Consider the following 16,228-nt stretch of genomic DNA (forward strand, 5'->3'; position numbering starts at 1 on the left):
TTTTGTATTTTTAGTAGGTACGGACTTTCACCATGTTGGCCAGGCTGGTCTCGAACTCCTGACCTCAAGTGATCCACCCACCTCGGCCCCCCCAAAGTGCTGGGACTACAGGCGTGAGTCACTGCGCCCAACCCTCACTCAATAGTTTTTGAGTCCTGTGATCTGTTGGGTATTATTCTAGGTGCTGGGGATACCTGGCATTTGGTGGAGCTTAGGTATTTCTGAGGAAGGAGGGTGCTGAATGCATAAAGCAGAAGTCGGTGACAGAGTGCTATTTTTGAAAGTGTGATGATGGAAGACCTCTCAGAAGAAATGGCATTTGAGCAGCAACCTGAATAAAGTGAAAGACAGCACCAAGTATCAATTTTGAAAGCTCCAGGGTGAGGGTAGAGTAAGTGAAAAGACCACGAGGAAGAGGGATGCCTGCCATGTTTGAGAAATTGTCTTATTATTTTTTCATTTATTTTCACATAATCACGTTTTGGTCAATGACGATTTTTTTTTTTTTTTTTTTTTTTTTTTTTTTTGAGACGGAGTTTCGCTCTGTCACCCAGACTGGAGTGCAGTGGCACGATCTTGGCTTGTTGCAACCTCTGCCTCCTGGGTTCAAGTGATACCCCTGCTTCATCCTCATGAGTAGCTGGGATTACAGGCGCCTGCTATCATGCCCAGCTAATTTCTGTATTTTTAGTAGAGACAGGGTTTCACCATGTTGGCCAGGCTGGTCTCGAATTTCCAATCTCAGGTGATCTGCCTGACTCAGCCTCCCAAAGTGCTGGGATTACAGGCATGAGCCACCATGCCGGGCCAATGATGAATTTTCTAAGAGAAATTCAAGACACATAGTACGTTGGCCTTGTAGGCCCTGAAATACATATGTGTTTGTATAAGTTCACGCATACATGCATATACATTATATATGCATACACATATTAAATTTATCTTTCAGATTTCCACAGCCTCTTTTATTCATTTACTTTTCACGGGTTTAAAATACCTGGTTCCTGCTATCCAAAAGCCTATTCTTTGACCATCTCTGTTAATCACAGAGGGTGCAGTATGCCCTATGGAGCCACAGAGGTGAAACTCCAGACCCTGGAGGCCCCCAGCTGGCTGGCTGCGTTAAGTAGGATGCTGAACTGGCAGATGCGGCTCCATCAGACAGGTGCCTGCAATGCACAAAAGGGACAGTAGGTGGCGCTGCATCATTCCATATGAATCTTCCTGGAAAGGTGGTTGAGAGAAATGGGGAATTGTGTGAACTGGGTTTCCCCTCTCTTTTCTTGTTTATAGCCCTCCTGTGCTGCAGGAAACAACTGACGCCCGTGAGGCTGCACATTGTGTGATTCTGTGTGTGTGTGTGTGTGTGTGTGTGTGTGTGTGTGTGTGTGTGTGTACACTGGCTGCTCTGGCCTGCCTGCAGCATTTATGATGTGGAGACCTTTGGCCACCTAAATATTGTGCACATATCATATTGCTATTTGTCTGCAATGTTTAAAAAAGCTACTAGAAGAAATAAGAATGATTCAAACTATTAAGCTGAGATCCTAAAACAGAGTTTCTCAAATTTCACTGTACGTTAAAATCATACTAATCTCTTCAAAGCAGATTATGATGCCATACTTCCAGGAATCCTAATTCAGTGGGTCTGGGATAAGACCCAGAACACCACATTTTTATCATTTAATTTGGGGGCAGGTGGCTCATTAAGCCACACTTTACAAAATTCTAGTCTGACGTTTGCTGGTCAATAAAATGATGGTGTGAATGGTCGAAAAACTACGTGGGTTTTCAAGCTACACAGATCATTTTACTCTAAGATGGGGCCAGAAAGTCATCTGCACATGGCTCCTATATAAGGGAACAGATAAGGGAAGCAGTTTAGGAAGGACTACAAGATCCACCTTATCTTTTTTTTGTCCCCAATTTCTGTTCTGCAAGTTTGCAGTCTTCAGTGATTTTTTTTTTTCTGCAAGACTGGCTGCGACAAGGCAGCTTTCTGAGCAGAAATCTGCATGCTCTCTAAAACCTCTGCCCCATCCGACTGAAGGCAACACTGGCTGCAGCACGTGTCTCATTAGTTTGCAAACTAGCAGAGCACAGTGAATACTATCCCCAAGGAATTACCAACTGTCAGGCTACAGGAGATTACCAGGCGCCCAGCAAGACCGGCCCACTCCCAGAAACACTATGCAGGAACATCGGCTCCATTTGTTTCAGATGACCTTTGCAAACCCATCTTTTTTTTTCAAACCCTCTGGTTTGGAATCAAATCACTTTTCTGCACTGGAGAGTGGTCGGAATGTGTATGTGAGACAGGCAATGGGCTTTCAAGATTGCCCCTGAGGGTAGGAACTGGGGAGGGGCAGAGGACAGGCTTGGTGAGCTAAGAGTTGCTGCTAATTCTCCTCTTCCTCATGATAGAAAAATCAAGTTTTACTAGGTGCCAGGGTACCATATATTTTGCTTGATGGGACTTTTGGGAACGAGATGTGCATCTACTTGACAGAGGAGAAAATCAAGGCTCAGAGAGATGGAGTGACTTCCCCAGGAGTTTGAACCAAAATCTGGACCTAGTCAGAATGCCCGACTCAGTCCAGTGCTTTTCTTTCCCCTATAAAGCCACCTCTCACTGCCATATCATGGCACTTTGGCATCCACAGTCACTCATGACACCCTCCATCTTTAAGATGCCTGAGAGTGTGACTCGGTTATGTTCTTGTTCTGACTTGCTTTGAGCATAAAGTGATGCCAGAGTCACAGTGCTTCTCCAATCCTTGATTTCTCCATCTGAAAGAAAAGGCCAGAAGTCTGTTATGGTATAGATGTGAAGATGAGCAAAAAGAGTTTGTGGGCATAGCAAAGCACCCTGGATCTTTAGGAGGGAGGCACTAACCAAACATGTCAGAATCTGCTGAAACAGTTATATGAGTTTATATGTATGTGAGTTAGCAAACAGCTTCAAACATGAACTTGCTTTTAACACAGTTAGTACCAAAAAGCCAGGCTTAGAAAGAAGTTCCATTATATGAGGCATGCTTATCCAACCACTTAACCCAAGATGAGTCTACAAAATTAAAATCAGAACACGAAACATTCCATTACAAATTATCTTCCTCTAAGGTTAAGGTCAAATATTTGGTCCAATCAACTAGGCTAATGAAATGAAAGAATTGCAAATGAATGAAGAAACTGGTTTCTTTTAGAAGGGTTTCCGCAGCCCTTAATCTTAAGCAGAGACAATCTCTGTGTGTGTTGTTTTCCTCTCCAGGATTTCGTTAACTAGGGAGGAGTTTTGCAGGGGAGCAGTAGACACCTCAAGGGGTATGATCACACACACAGGAATGAGAAAAAAACCTACAGAGTGACAAGGAGGTGAAGCTATGGAAGATTTAATGGGAGACCCTGAAAAATTTAGATCAGAAGCTGATACTGGCTTTTAAATCAGTATTTACATGTGATTGGACTACGGTAGATGTATAACAAATTTGTGGTATATGGAACACAATTATAATTTGTAAGGAAGCTAGCTCTCTAGCAAAATCACCCCTTATAGAATAAGCTATGAGATAATAATATGGTCTAGGTAGGAGCCATTCTTGGCAAATGTGCTGTCATTTTTATTGCAAGTTATTTTTGCTACTAATCATTAATGTTTGTGACGTATTGTTAAAGATTTTAGTATGATCATTTCTATGATACCATTGCTATCATTTCCCTACATACTAACATATAGGGAGGTGTTATGTCTTAGTAAGTGGAAAGTCCTGAAAGTCTATATAGGACGAGTTAGGGATGGCAGTTAGATGGACAGGAGCCCCCGTGATGAGTACTGAACTATGTAGTTGTGTAACAAGCACACTGCTTCTAACCAAAATGTTTATGTTTCTTCAAGATGATCTGTAAAGAGTAGGGAGTAGATAGTAAAAGCTAATGGAGACAGCTCCTCCAATCCCAAGCCGCTCTTGGCACTGACACTGACCTTAGTTATCAAGAGCTAGGATCCTTGCGGCAGGTGGACCTGAGTCTGAAGCATGGTTCTGCTAGGTAGTAGGTGGGCCACTTCAAACAAGTAACTTAAGCTCTCTGAACCTCAACACTTTTTGTAAATAGGGTTACTAATAGTGCCTACTTCAAGGGACTGTTTTGAGAAGTGAGATAACATATATTAAGAGCCTGTTTAGCACAAAGTCTGGAACACACTGTAAACTATAGCCAAAAATAGGCAGATTGAGTTGGCATACTGAGAATCATGTGTAACTTTGTCAGACCCAAATAAAGGAGTGCATGTTTCTTTGAAGCACCTCTGCCATGAGAGTACAGGAGACAGAGATCAGAATTACTGACATGTTAGGAAGACTCAACAACCAAAACACCTTTTTGTCATCCCCTAATAGTCTTGCCCTCTCACTGGACCACAGCAGCTAAAAAAGAAAATGTTCTAATTGATACTTTCTGTATTCAATTTTGTTCCATGGGCAAGGTGCAGAGGAGAGGCATGGAGTAATAATGGCTGGCCTTGAGGCTCTTGGACTAAAACTTGATATTTGAACAAGACCATTCATATAAAGGAGCTGCTTTCATTTAAAGGAAACAATTTCTTTAGTAACCAACACAAGTCCTATGACTGGGAAACCCCTTACACCTAACATGTTAATGACACATGTTTTAAGCACACATAACTTAGAAGTTATTATTGTCTCATCATACTTACTCACATCTTTAGAATCCCCAATGAGGGAAAAGCTTTAGCATTTCTTGGAACTGTTTCCTACCACAGTTTCCTTAACACTGTTTTTATACTCTTTCTCTCTACACCACCTTCTCTCTAACACCAAGTCATCCACAGATAGAAGCCCAGGAAAAAGGAGCAAAACCCTAAAAGGATTATTAATAGCAACATATTATGAGAAGACAGAAATAATCAGATGGGGAGAAATTTCTTTACTTGGGCTAATTCTCAATGCATTAGATTGAGTGGTGCATGTGGATTGTTTTCAACAATTTCTGACCCCAGCAAAACCAAATTTCTTTGTTTCAACCAAATAGCTCTGCAAGTTACTTAGGCTCAGCCTCCAGATTCAAGTGTCATATCTTCAAGGCACCCGGGGTAAGCAGAGGAAATGCAATGAGAATTTGAAGCAATCCAGAGAGTCCAGGATTAATCAAATTCTACTCTTTGATTTTCTTCTCACTCTTTCCTTATTTTGGTCTCTTAATCATTTCTTCCCCATTCCCCTTCTGCTAAAAGATAACTAGTGTACTTCTTCTAGATATAAAATTGTGAATTCAATTTGAAAAGGACACAATATTTAAGATAGGTCATAAACCAACAACAGTAATAACATACAAGTTACATGTAAGTACAGGACGGCGCTGTCAGAACCCAGACTGTTGTCCACCTGCACGGTCACACGGAAAATGCCCACGTTCTGATAGACGTGTTTGATCCCATCTTCCATGGAGCTGAGATTGACGTAAGACACCGCGATACCATCGCCAAAGTCCACTTGGATGAGTGTCCGCTGAACATCACCCTGAAAAACAACCCAACATCAGAGGAAATGAGTTAGTATTCGGCTGCTCCTGCCTAGGGGACTGGGGACTACGGCTTGTCCTAGTCCCTGGCTCAGGCATGATGGCAGCCCTGGCTCACTCCTACAGCTAGGAGCATCTGCCTGCCTTTGACAGAATCCCTGTGACATTCCCTGGCAGGCAAGAGTTTGCTACGATGGATACACTCCAAATCTGAAGGACACCAACTACTGTAAGTTTCAGGGGTTTGAAAATTAATAGTGCTTGATTATCAGCTGCAATGTGATATTCAATTCCTCCAAAGGCTTTGGTAATAGTCTTAGCATCCACAAGGATAAAAGGTGTACACACACAACTTTAAAAATTTAGCTTACCTGGGTCAGGCACAGTGGCTCATGCCTGTAATCCCAGCACTTTGGGAGGCTGAGGCAGGCAGATCACAAGGTCAAGAGATCAAGACCATCCTGGCCAACATGGTGAAACCCCGTCTCTACTAAAAATACAAAAATTAGCTGGGCGTGGTGGCGCACGCCTATAGTCCCAGCTACTCGGGGGGGCTGAGGCGGGAGAATTGCTTGAATCTGGCAGGCAGAGGTTGCAGTGTGCCAAGATCATGCCACTGCACTCCAGCCTGATGATGGAGTGAGACTCCGTCTCAGAAACAAAGAAACAAACAAACAAAAACCCAAAAATTTTAGCCTACCTGACTGACATGGTAATGGACCACTCCACTTCCTGTGTCTTCAAGACCACCCCTCAACCTGAATACCCCTCGTTATTTCTTGTTCCCTAATTGTATCATAGGAAGGACGGAAGACACTTTGCCTGATATCTGATAGGACACTGTACGCAGCCCTATTATTATCTGAGATAATAATGGTTAATTCTTTTATGCTTTAGCATTTCAAGCTATCAAAATGATCTCATGTTATTCTTCACAGATTCTTAGTCTAGTCTGGAGAGAGGAGTAGGCAATCTTCTCCCACTTTACAGAGGAAGAAGATGAAGTCAAAAAAGATGTCATCACTTGTTCAAGGTTAACACAGCTAGTAAGTGGCGGTCCTGGTATTCTAACTCACCTTTCTGCACTTCCAGGTCATTCATTATAGAGAGAATATAGCACTGTAGGTAATCAAGGCTCCCCTGGCATGAATTCTCATGTGCCATTAACAAGCTGGAAGACTTCATGCAAGTCATTCAGTCTCCTGCAGTCTCAGTGACAAATCTATGAACTGGGTATAATAATACCTTCCTGTCTTAAAGAGTTGTAAAAACTATGCAGTAAATTAATTACAGATTAATTAGTCATCTGTAAAACGCTACATAAAAATGACTATAAATCAATGTAGCTATAAAAGACCTACAATTGTCCCTTTAAAGCTTAATTGAAATTGTAGGATTCCAAATTTCCCATGGGTAGGCAGAAGAAGATACATTCTGCATTATAAAATCCCAGACCTGTAAAAAAAAAAAAGAAATGGCCTTTGGAACAACAGTTTAGATTCTTAAGGAAAAAAAGTTGCTCAGACCCCATTGACAAAAACCAGCTTCCTTCACACACAGTCCATCCTTTAACAAATTTTGTTGTTGTTGTTAGCCTTTCCCACTTTCAGGAAAGAAAAAAACAAAAACCTTTGAACTAGAAATGTATTTTCGATTAAGTAAGGTTCATATGGTATCATATTTTTTGAAAAGGCCAAGTTTAAAATGTTGACATTTAAAAGATTAATTCACAGGGAAAAAGAAAAGCAGTTCAAATCCTATGAATCTGTGTGACCTACTCCTCTGCTCTATGCCCAGCCAAGCATTGTGTGTGGGGCTCACAGCAGCAGACTCAATAAGTACATAGGCACAAATTCTCCCCTAGGGTAAACAGAGAAATTCCATTCAAAACTACAAAATAAATATCCAAAGCCCAGACATTGTGCACTTACTTGAATTCCCTTCACTAATAAATATAAATGTCAACTATTCTTGCTGACGTGTCCTTCATTTAAACAACCAAAGTGGACTGATCAACTTCTCATTCTGTTTCCAGTTAGTTTCCACCCCTAGTTTTCAACAGAGTTGCTGGGAAGCCAGCCCTAGGTGTGGGCAAGGGGAAAGAGCCCACTTTTGAAGCAAGTATCTGAGGGAAATAGCAAGGGTATCTGGGGTTATCCATGGAATAAAACAAGGAATGCAGTTTCCACTAGAGAGGGGGGAGGACATGACGGAAGAGGGAGACAGACAAGTTTAAAGTACTTTGTGGTGACAGAGTGAGCATCAGGCAGGGGCCATCATTTGCTAAAGGACAGAGGGGAGATTCACACCTTCAGTCAACTCTACTTCAGCCTCCATTGAGAGACAGCAGACACTCACACAGCTGGGAAGAATACAACTTTGGCTGCCATTGCTTGAGTCTACCTTGCCTTGCCCTTTCTGTCTGGTCTTCATCACTTCCATTTTGTTGTCCTGGATCAAGACCAGTTACATAAAAACCCTCCAATTTCTATCTCTCTTGATGTCTACTGTCTGTCTTGCTGGGTTTTGTTTCATGATAGGATTCTTCATTGTCCATTCATGGAATGCTCTCTGTGTATATAATGGGTGAAAGGATGGAGCTACTCAATGTTTGGACTAGGGCATTAGTAAGGTTTCCATTTCAGAGTCAGGTTATTAGGGTGTTAGGTCAGGTATTTTATATATAATTATATAACAGATCATACTTTACATGATAGAATCAGGTATTAGGTTTAACATGCACCTGACAGCCCCTGAAGACAAAGACATGGAATACTCCAATCAAATGTGAAGTCCCCAGGACCTCCTGATATTGGGATAGGCCTCTTGGCTTGGACTCTGCACTAGGAGATAAGAATGTCAAGGGGCCATGTATGACAGCAGAAGGCAGCTGATTATATTCCTGCTGTCGCTTTCCACTAAAGGTGAACAAACTGGATTCCATGCCTTTTCCTTCAGGAGCTCTCAGGTAAGTGGTAAGGCTACGGCCACTGTAACAGCTTCACGCTGGGGCTCATCTGTCATCAGATTCCGGTGTTCCTGGGCTCAAATGACCACTGGAAGCAAGGATGTCAGCCACTTTCAGAGAATAAGAAACCGAGCAAAGGGAAGGCAGCCCAAGTCCTAATAACTATTGAGTAGACATACTCACCCTACCGGCGCTCTGGTCATTCACTCATTCACCCAACAGTCAGATATTTATTGACTGTCTATCTCATGTCAGTCACCAAATGGGAAAATGTTATTAAGCAAGCAATAGCCAAACAAACAAAATAAATATGGCCTGGGCTTTCATGAGCTTACAGACCACTAGTGAAACACATGCACTTTAATTAACTAATCATGCAAAAAAAATTATTGCAGGGTGACATGAAGGAAAGGTACATGGAGTTGTAAGCTTTTGTAATATGCAGGACTGGAGAGCCGATCTGATTGGGAACTTCAAAGAAGGCTTCCAAAAGGAAGTGATATCTGAGCTCAGAAGACCTGAAAGAAGAAGGTAAATTAACCAAATGGAGGAGATGAATGAGTGAGGCACAAGTGAGAGAGTGCAGGCCAGGGGAACAGAGGGAACAGATGTGCAAAGGCCCTGTGGTAGAGGGAGATAGTACGGTTGAAGAAATTAAAAAAGAAGGAGGAAAAAGAGAGAGAGAACAAGAACATGTTACCAAATGAGGTTAAAGCAGAGAAAAATACCTTCTGGGACTTGTGGGTCAAATTCCTGATTTTTATCTTTCTCCTAAGAGCAATGAGAAGCCATTAAAGTGTTTTACTTTTTAAATGTTTTTAAAATTTTAATTGATAATAATCACACATATTTATGGGGGTATATGTGATATTTCAATACATATATATAATATGTAGTGATAAAATCAGGGTAACTGTGATATCTATAACCTTGAATCTTTTTTATTTCTTTGTGTTGGAGACATTCAAATTCCTTTCCTCTAGCTATTTTGAAATATATAATAAATTATTGTTAACGAAAGTTAACACTGTACTGTGCTATAGAATATTCGAATTTATTCCTCCTGTCTAACTGTGATTTTGGACACATTAACCAATCTCTCCCTGTCCAGCCTCTTGTAGCTACCATTCTACTCTCCTATTCTGTAAGATCAACTTAATGATTCAAGTGTTCTAAGTAGGGGTTTAAGGGAAGATGGCATGATGATATTTTTAATTCAAAATGATCACTCTGGCTATGATATGGAGATGAACTGGAAGTGTGTTGGAAAGCCAATTTGGAGGTATTCTAGGATAGATGATAGTAGATTAAACAAACAAACAAACAAACAAAAAATCTCCAGCAGAAAATTATATGCACCTTTCTGTCAAAATTAACTCTCATAGTTTATTGGTTTTGAAATCAGTGATTCTGGGCCTTTGATATCAACATCTTTTTTAGGAGTTTTATTTCTTAATCTGGATGTCCAACTACTACCCAAGACCCAGCACTGTTTTGAGGCCTCTGAGAGGATGCCCAGTCCTGCTGCAGTCTGAGGTCTGCAGCCGATGCTAGGCTGTAGCAAAGGCTGAGGCCCTCTCATTCTGATTGTTGAATATTAGGTCTTCTTGTGGTCGGATACATCTGAAGATGAACACTATAGCACAAGCAGATGCTATTCTTATCTGATTTTAATATGATGAAAAAGCTTTACCAGGAAGCTTTAGGACTGTAAGTACTAAGGGTGTATTAATAAGGCTGGGAATGGAAAGACTAAATTCATTGTGGACTGAAGCATAATCACAAACAAAAGTGTCATGATACACGCAGCCAAGATTAGCAAACTTCGCTAGGAAAATGAGTTGCTGGGTGGTACTAGGGTAGACTGTGTCAACTCCGGCGGGGCTAGGAAGTGTCTTGTTAATGTATCTTCAGTGCCTTAATGCAACACCTGCGAATGATCCTTTTTAGTTCCATATAATTTGAAAGTTGCACATTTCTATTGTGTGTTTGTCAAAATGCTTTCTTACATATTATCTCATGTGGATGTTAGGACATCTAGGAGATAGAAAGGACAGATGTTATTTATGTTTGATATAACAGAAAAACTGGAGCACAGAGGGGTTAAGATGCATAAAGTCACGCAGCTAGTTAGACACCTGCAAAAGGGTTTAAGATGATCTGTGCTTTGACTTGACCTATTCAGTTCAGTTCTCTTTGAGTTTCTTTAATTGAAATTACTCGCAATATTTCTTTCAGACCAAGAGGAAGGTGGTAACAAAGATAAAGCATTATTTTCTTTTCTTGCTTGACTGTATTCCTGGCTTTGACTCTCTTTTCCTCTCTAACGATGATAGGTTGGCATTTACTCAATACTCTGCTTCTGTCTACCCACTAGTAAGACAGTATCATGTTTAAGCCGTAAAGAAGATAGAGAATATGAGAAACAATTGGTATTCATAATCAGTAGTCAGGAAAGTCTTGTGTATAATTAATTGAAAAATACTTCAATCTAATAACTCAAAAGAAATCATTTCTGAAACTAAATCCAGGCTGGCAAACATCTAGACTATTATAAAATTCTTCAGATCTAATGCTCTTTAGTCACATGTCCTAATACAGACACAGAATTGAGAAGACTAGTTCAAAAGAAGTGCCTGAGAAAGGCACAAAACCCACATGAAATCCACGTGATGATTCTATTCTCCAAGGGCATTGCTGACGTCTAGAATAGAAAAACAAATTTATCAAATGGCCACCAGGAAGCCAATATTAACCTGAGCAATGAAAGGTGTGTGAACCTATCAGTTCCTGTAACACAGATTCAGAGAACACTGGGACAATAAATGCTATGGAAACTCCTCACGGACAGCCTCAGTCCAGAAGTGAGACTCCAAGATGTCCCTTAAGGCATCAGAGACCCATTGCAGATAGACACCAGGCTCGTATATCAGAACCTGGTCCATGCAAGCATGACAGTGGCCCTCACTCAAGCTTCATCAACATTTTTCTTGGAAGAAAGCAGAAACCACATTGCAGAAAAATCACTAGTATAACCCATTTTTAATAAAAAAATAAGCAACAAATAACACAGTAAATATACCATAAATCTGTATGTGTTTGTGCGAGTACAGAGAAAGGTGAAGCAAAAGGTAACCCAGACTGTTAATATTGATTACCCTGGGAGTGGAGTGAAGTGAGGGGCAGGAAGGGATCAGCTGGATTCAAAGAAAGGAGGAGTGAATGAGGGGAAATAAATATTTCTCCAAATTTAAAAGGGGGTAGAGTACTGAATAACACAAGAAACATTACAAAATACAACACTATACCTCTACTATTACTATAAATATTTAAATATGGGTTAAGTACATTGGAAATAATCAATGTAACAAAGACTTTGTTTTGACTGATGATGGAATACAACCAACTGAATTTGTTGTTATTTTTGTGTTATTTTGACCACAAAGTAAGATTTTTCACACATCATTAAGCGGCACTGAGTGACAGAAAGGAAATCAGATATTTCAGCCATTTCTTTGTATGACTAAGGATATTTAGGCAGAGTAGGGATTATGAAATAAAAGTAGCTCACCATTATCCTGCATACCCTACTCTAGGGAGGTAGACTCAGGTTAGCAAGGTCTCGACAAGGAGTGGAAAAGGAAATAACAGTTCAACGTACCCTGGCGTGCAGAGAAGAGATTTCATCAGCCAGTGTAGTAAATGCATGGCATGCGACTTTGTATACAAAGTGAGAGTGCAAGTAAGATTGATCTAGTTGGGTGCAGTGGCTCATGACTATAGTCTCAGCACTTCACGAGGCTGAAGTGAGAGGACCACTTGAGCCCGGGAAGTCAAGGCTGTAGTGAGCCATGATTGCACCACTGCACTCCAGCCTGGATAACAGAGTGAACCACTCTCTCACTAAAGAAAAAAAAAATAGAAAAGGAAAACAATTGCTCTACAAGATCCCCTGGGTGGTCACTAAGGGAGAAGACAGAGAACATTTTTTGAAAGTTTACTGTGTCAGAAATAGCAACTACTTTCTATATATTATCTTATTTAAACTTTGTATCAGTCTGTTTTCACACTGCTATAAAGAACTGCCTGAGACTGGGTAATTTATAAAGAAAAGAGATTTAATTGACTCACAGCTCCACATGGCTAGGGAAGGCCTCAGGAAACTTACAATCATAGTGGAAGGGAAAGCAGGCACGTCTTGTAGGAGGAACTGTCAAATACTTATAAGACCATCAGATCTCTGAGAACTCACTCACTATTATGAAAACAGCATGGGGGAAACCACCCCTATGATCCAATCACCTCCCACCAGGTCCTTCCCTCGACACTGGGGATTATAGGGATTACATTTTAAGATGAGATTTGGGTGGGGACACAGAGCCAAACCATATCAATCTTCAACCCTAAAAGAACTCAGACCTGTTCAAATTTGCCTAGAGTCACAAGACTAGTTTGAATCAGGCTGTTCTTAACTCCGAGTCCAGCACTCTTACAACTCGTTCACAGAAAACACTCAAACTACTCTGTGGTGCTCATTCCCAGATGGGTGCTAAAGAATGAATTCACTGATGTGTGAAACCAAAGAACTTTGTAAGCTTCGCTAACTACAACCCTTTAGAGGAATGCCAAAGTGATGTAAGATGATCCCAGTGTAATATGCCAGGCTCTGTAAAATACCCCAGAAGCTACAAAATGGGTTTGTGAGGATTCCTGGTAGTGTGAGTGTTTGACAAAGTCTGAGATGACTAATCAGGAAACAACTGTTGAAACTGTGTTGGACCTTCTTGTGTGACATTTTATAATAGTAAACTGAGCTTTTCTAGAACAGTTAAAAACCAGTCTAGGATAAAAGGCAGCTGCACATGCCCTATCTTCTGTTCCCAAGCAAGTTCTTTGTCCTCTCTGGCTTCTCTTCCAAGAGGTGCTGGCACTGCTGAAAGCCAAAATTTCCTCACCAAAGCAGCTAGGACAGAGTGTTCCCAGGATGTCTGGTTTGAATCATGCTGTATAGGTGTTTCTTCACTTTCAAAACTGAGCTCTGGAAGATGACTCTAAAATGTCCAAATCCATGCATAATTACGGAGTATTGTCAGTCTTCTCCCCTTGCCTATTCAAAGATGGTTTTCTAAAGCACACGTCTTTCTCCAAATGTGCAGACCTCCTGAGCTTCTGTGCAAGCAAAACCTACAGTGAACTTAGATGCTCTGACCTGGGGGATGAAGAGTCGCCAGTGAAGAGGATAGTGCAGAAGGTTTTACAATTTTTCTAGAGAACTCAGATCTGTCAAGACCATGAATTTCAGAGACAGCACACTTTGAACACATCAAATCATCTGCCTAGATTTATGACATTTCACTTTCTCTCAGATGAAATGAAGATGGCTGTTTTTTCAGGCCCTTCTAAGAGGACTCAGATCCTTGGGACTTGCCTAACTAAATACCCAAATACTTCTGGATCTAATGCCCAGATCAAGGCATTCCAATAGGAACATCACAAAGTGGTTTGGTCCTTCCTTTAGAAATGGATGATAGTACCATGTATTTGACTGAATCCCAAATTTCCCTTTTATGTCTTCTGTACTTGGTGTCTGGTTTAAAATGCAACAGAATACATAAGACAGGAGGAATACTTAGCTTGTGTAAGCAGATAATGACTATGAGCTGGGGCCTCTGTACTCCCTCTAGATATTATGGTACAGAGAGGTTCAGAACCTTGACCCATTGCACTTTGGAAGCACTTTTTAGATAATAAAGGACATTGCTATACTGTTACCACTGCATGATGTGGCTGTAGGAATTACATCAGCAGGCTCTGGCTAGAAAACTAGGGGGCTGCCAAATGACATAAATCTTAAAATGTTTTTGAGTGACTTTTGGAATTCACTCATAAAGTAAAGACATTCAGCTATGTAATTAGAACAAAACTATATATACTTTAAAAATGGTAGGAAGTTTCCTTTAGGAATAAATCTCTATAGAACCAGGTTTCCTAGTAGTAAAATATGTAACAGAAATATGTTAGCTTTATTAGAATAAAGAAAAAAAAAGGCACGGTACATTCATTGGGAAAATACAGAAATACATAAAATAATGACAAAGAAAATTAAAATCACCCATAATTATATCACCCACAGATTACCTTGTTGGTGAATATCATTTTAATCAATGAGAATGCACATGGACACAGATACCACCCCTATAACACTGGAATCACTATACTATTTTTAGCATTATGCAGTCAATATGTTTAAATAGCTTAAACTTTTATACCTAGTATCACTTGGTGGTCTTCACCAAGTCATAAGACCTCTTCTATGAAATGGATATATGATTTCTTGCCCTGGAAGTCACTTCATCCCCCTTCTAAATTATTAGGTTGTTGTGTAATTTATTTTAAAGAGGTGCTGTATGTGAAAGAGGTGCCCTACAAAAGTCAGGTGGCAACCTGGGAATTAGAAGACCTAGTTTTGTGTCCTTCAAAAAACATTGTTTATTTGGACCTCAATTTCTCTACCTGTAAATTAAAGATGGTAGGACCTGATGATCCTAATTGTCACTTCCAAGTCAGATAATCTGTGATTTTTACAATTCTATTATTCTTGTTATTGGCATTATTGTGCATCCACATATACATATATATATTCTAACGTCAATTTGAGCTGCTGAGATAAGCTCAGATCTCAGGTAAAGATGCAGAACTGATTCAAGTGCTGCTGTCATAGGTAGAGACTTACCACTGCACATTAATGGTAGACCAGCTTGAGGACTGAGCGGCTGAGCAGAGGGTCATGGAATAATAAATGGCAAAGTGCAAAGCCAGAAGCCTGAGGAAGTTACTCACTCAGGCGAGGATTGCATGGTGTGGTGAAACCCTGATTCAGGGGTAGTGACCACCCATGTGGATGAAGTGGGACATTAGTATTGTTAGGGCCTCAAGTAGGCAGACTAGGAGATTGAAAATCCAAACTGAAGACTATTTCATGAATCTAGCCTCTGGGATGTTTGCCGAACTGGAACTGTCAGTAATGAGCCAGGTATCTAAGTCAGACTAAAGTTCTTAGCAAACATCTTTTCTTTGAGACCCTAAAGAACAGCAATATTCCAATATATGTGGATTAGTTTTGAGGGGAGTGAGAAGTGGAGACTTAGAAAGAGTTGCTAACCAATCCAACTTGAACTTCAGACATTAGGCTTCCGGCTAAAGACAACCTATATTGCCTGCCTCATTTCCTTCAACAACAAAAAGCAAGAAGAAATGAAGTGGCTCAATTACCTTACTAGAGTCAAAGAGAATAATGCTGAATGGAGTAAGGAATAACATAGGAGAAAGCCTCAAATCTCTAAGGCTCATCGAAATCAGCTTCCACTCCTTTGTATGGAGGGAGAAAACAGTTGAGGCATCTACGTCAGAACTAAGCTGGCTTAGAAACTGATACCTGCCTCACGAGGTCAGGAGATCGAGACCATCCTGGCCAACATGGTGAAACTCCGTCTCTACTAAATATACAAAAATTACCTGGGTGTGGTGGCACGTGCCTGTTACCCCAGCTACTCGGGAGGCTGAGGGAGGAGAATTGCTTGAACCCAGGAGGTGGAGGTCGCAGTGAGCCAAGATCACGCCAATGCACTCCAGCCTGGCAACAGGGTGTGTCTCAAAAAAAAAACAAGAAAGAAAAAGAAACTGATGCCTGCCTCAACATAACACTGTTTATTAACCCTTTGT

General features: G+C 40.7%; 1 protein-coding gene across 17 annotated transcripts in view; it reads right to left on the minus strand.

Annotated features, from left to right (window-relative positions):
• The window catches only part of SORCS1 (sortilin related VPS10 domain containing receptor 1), a 607,476-nt gene that overhangs the window by 50,189 nt on the left and 541,059 nt on the right, over positions 1–16,228 (minus strand). For all 17 annotated transcript variants that reach the window (XM_017015617.1, XM_047424547.1, XM_017015615.3 and 14 more), the window contains one exon: positions 5,351–5,537. In XM_017015617.1, coding sequence (XP_016871106.1) covers positions 5,351–5,537 — 187 coding nt within the window. The remainder of the gene's footprint in view (positions 1–5,350; positions 5,538–16,228) is intronic.

Source organism: Homo sapiens, chromosome 10, assembly GCF_000001405.40.
Source record: "Homo sapiens chromosome 10, GRCh38.p14 Primary Assembly".
Lineage (NCBI taxonomy): Eukaryota > Metazoa > Chordata > Mammalia > Primates > Hominidae > Homo > Homo sapiens.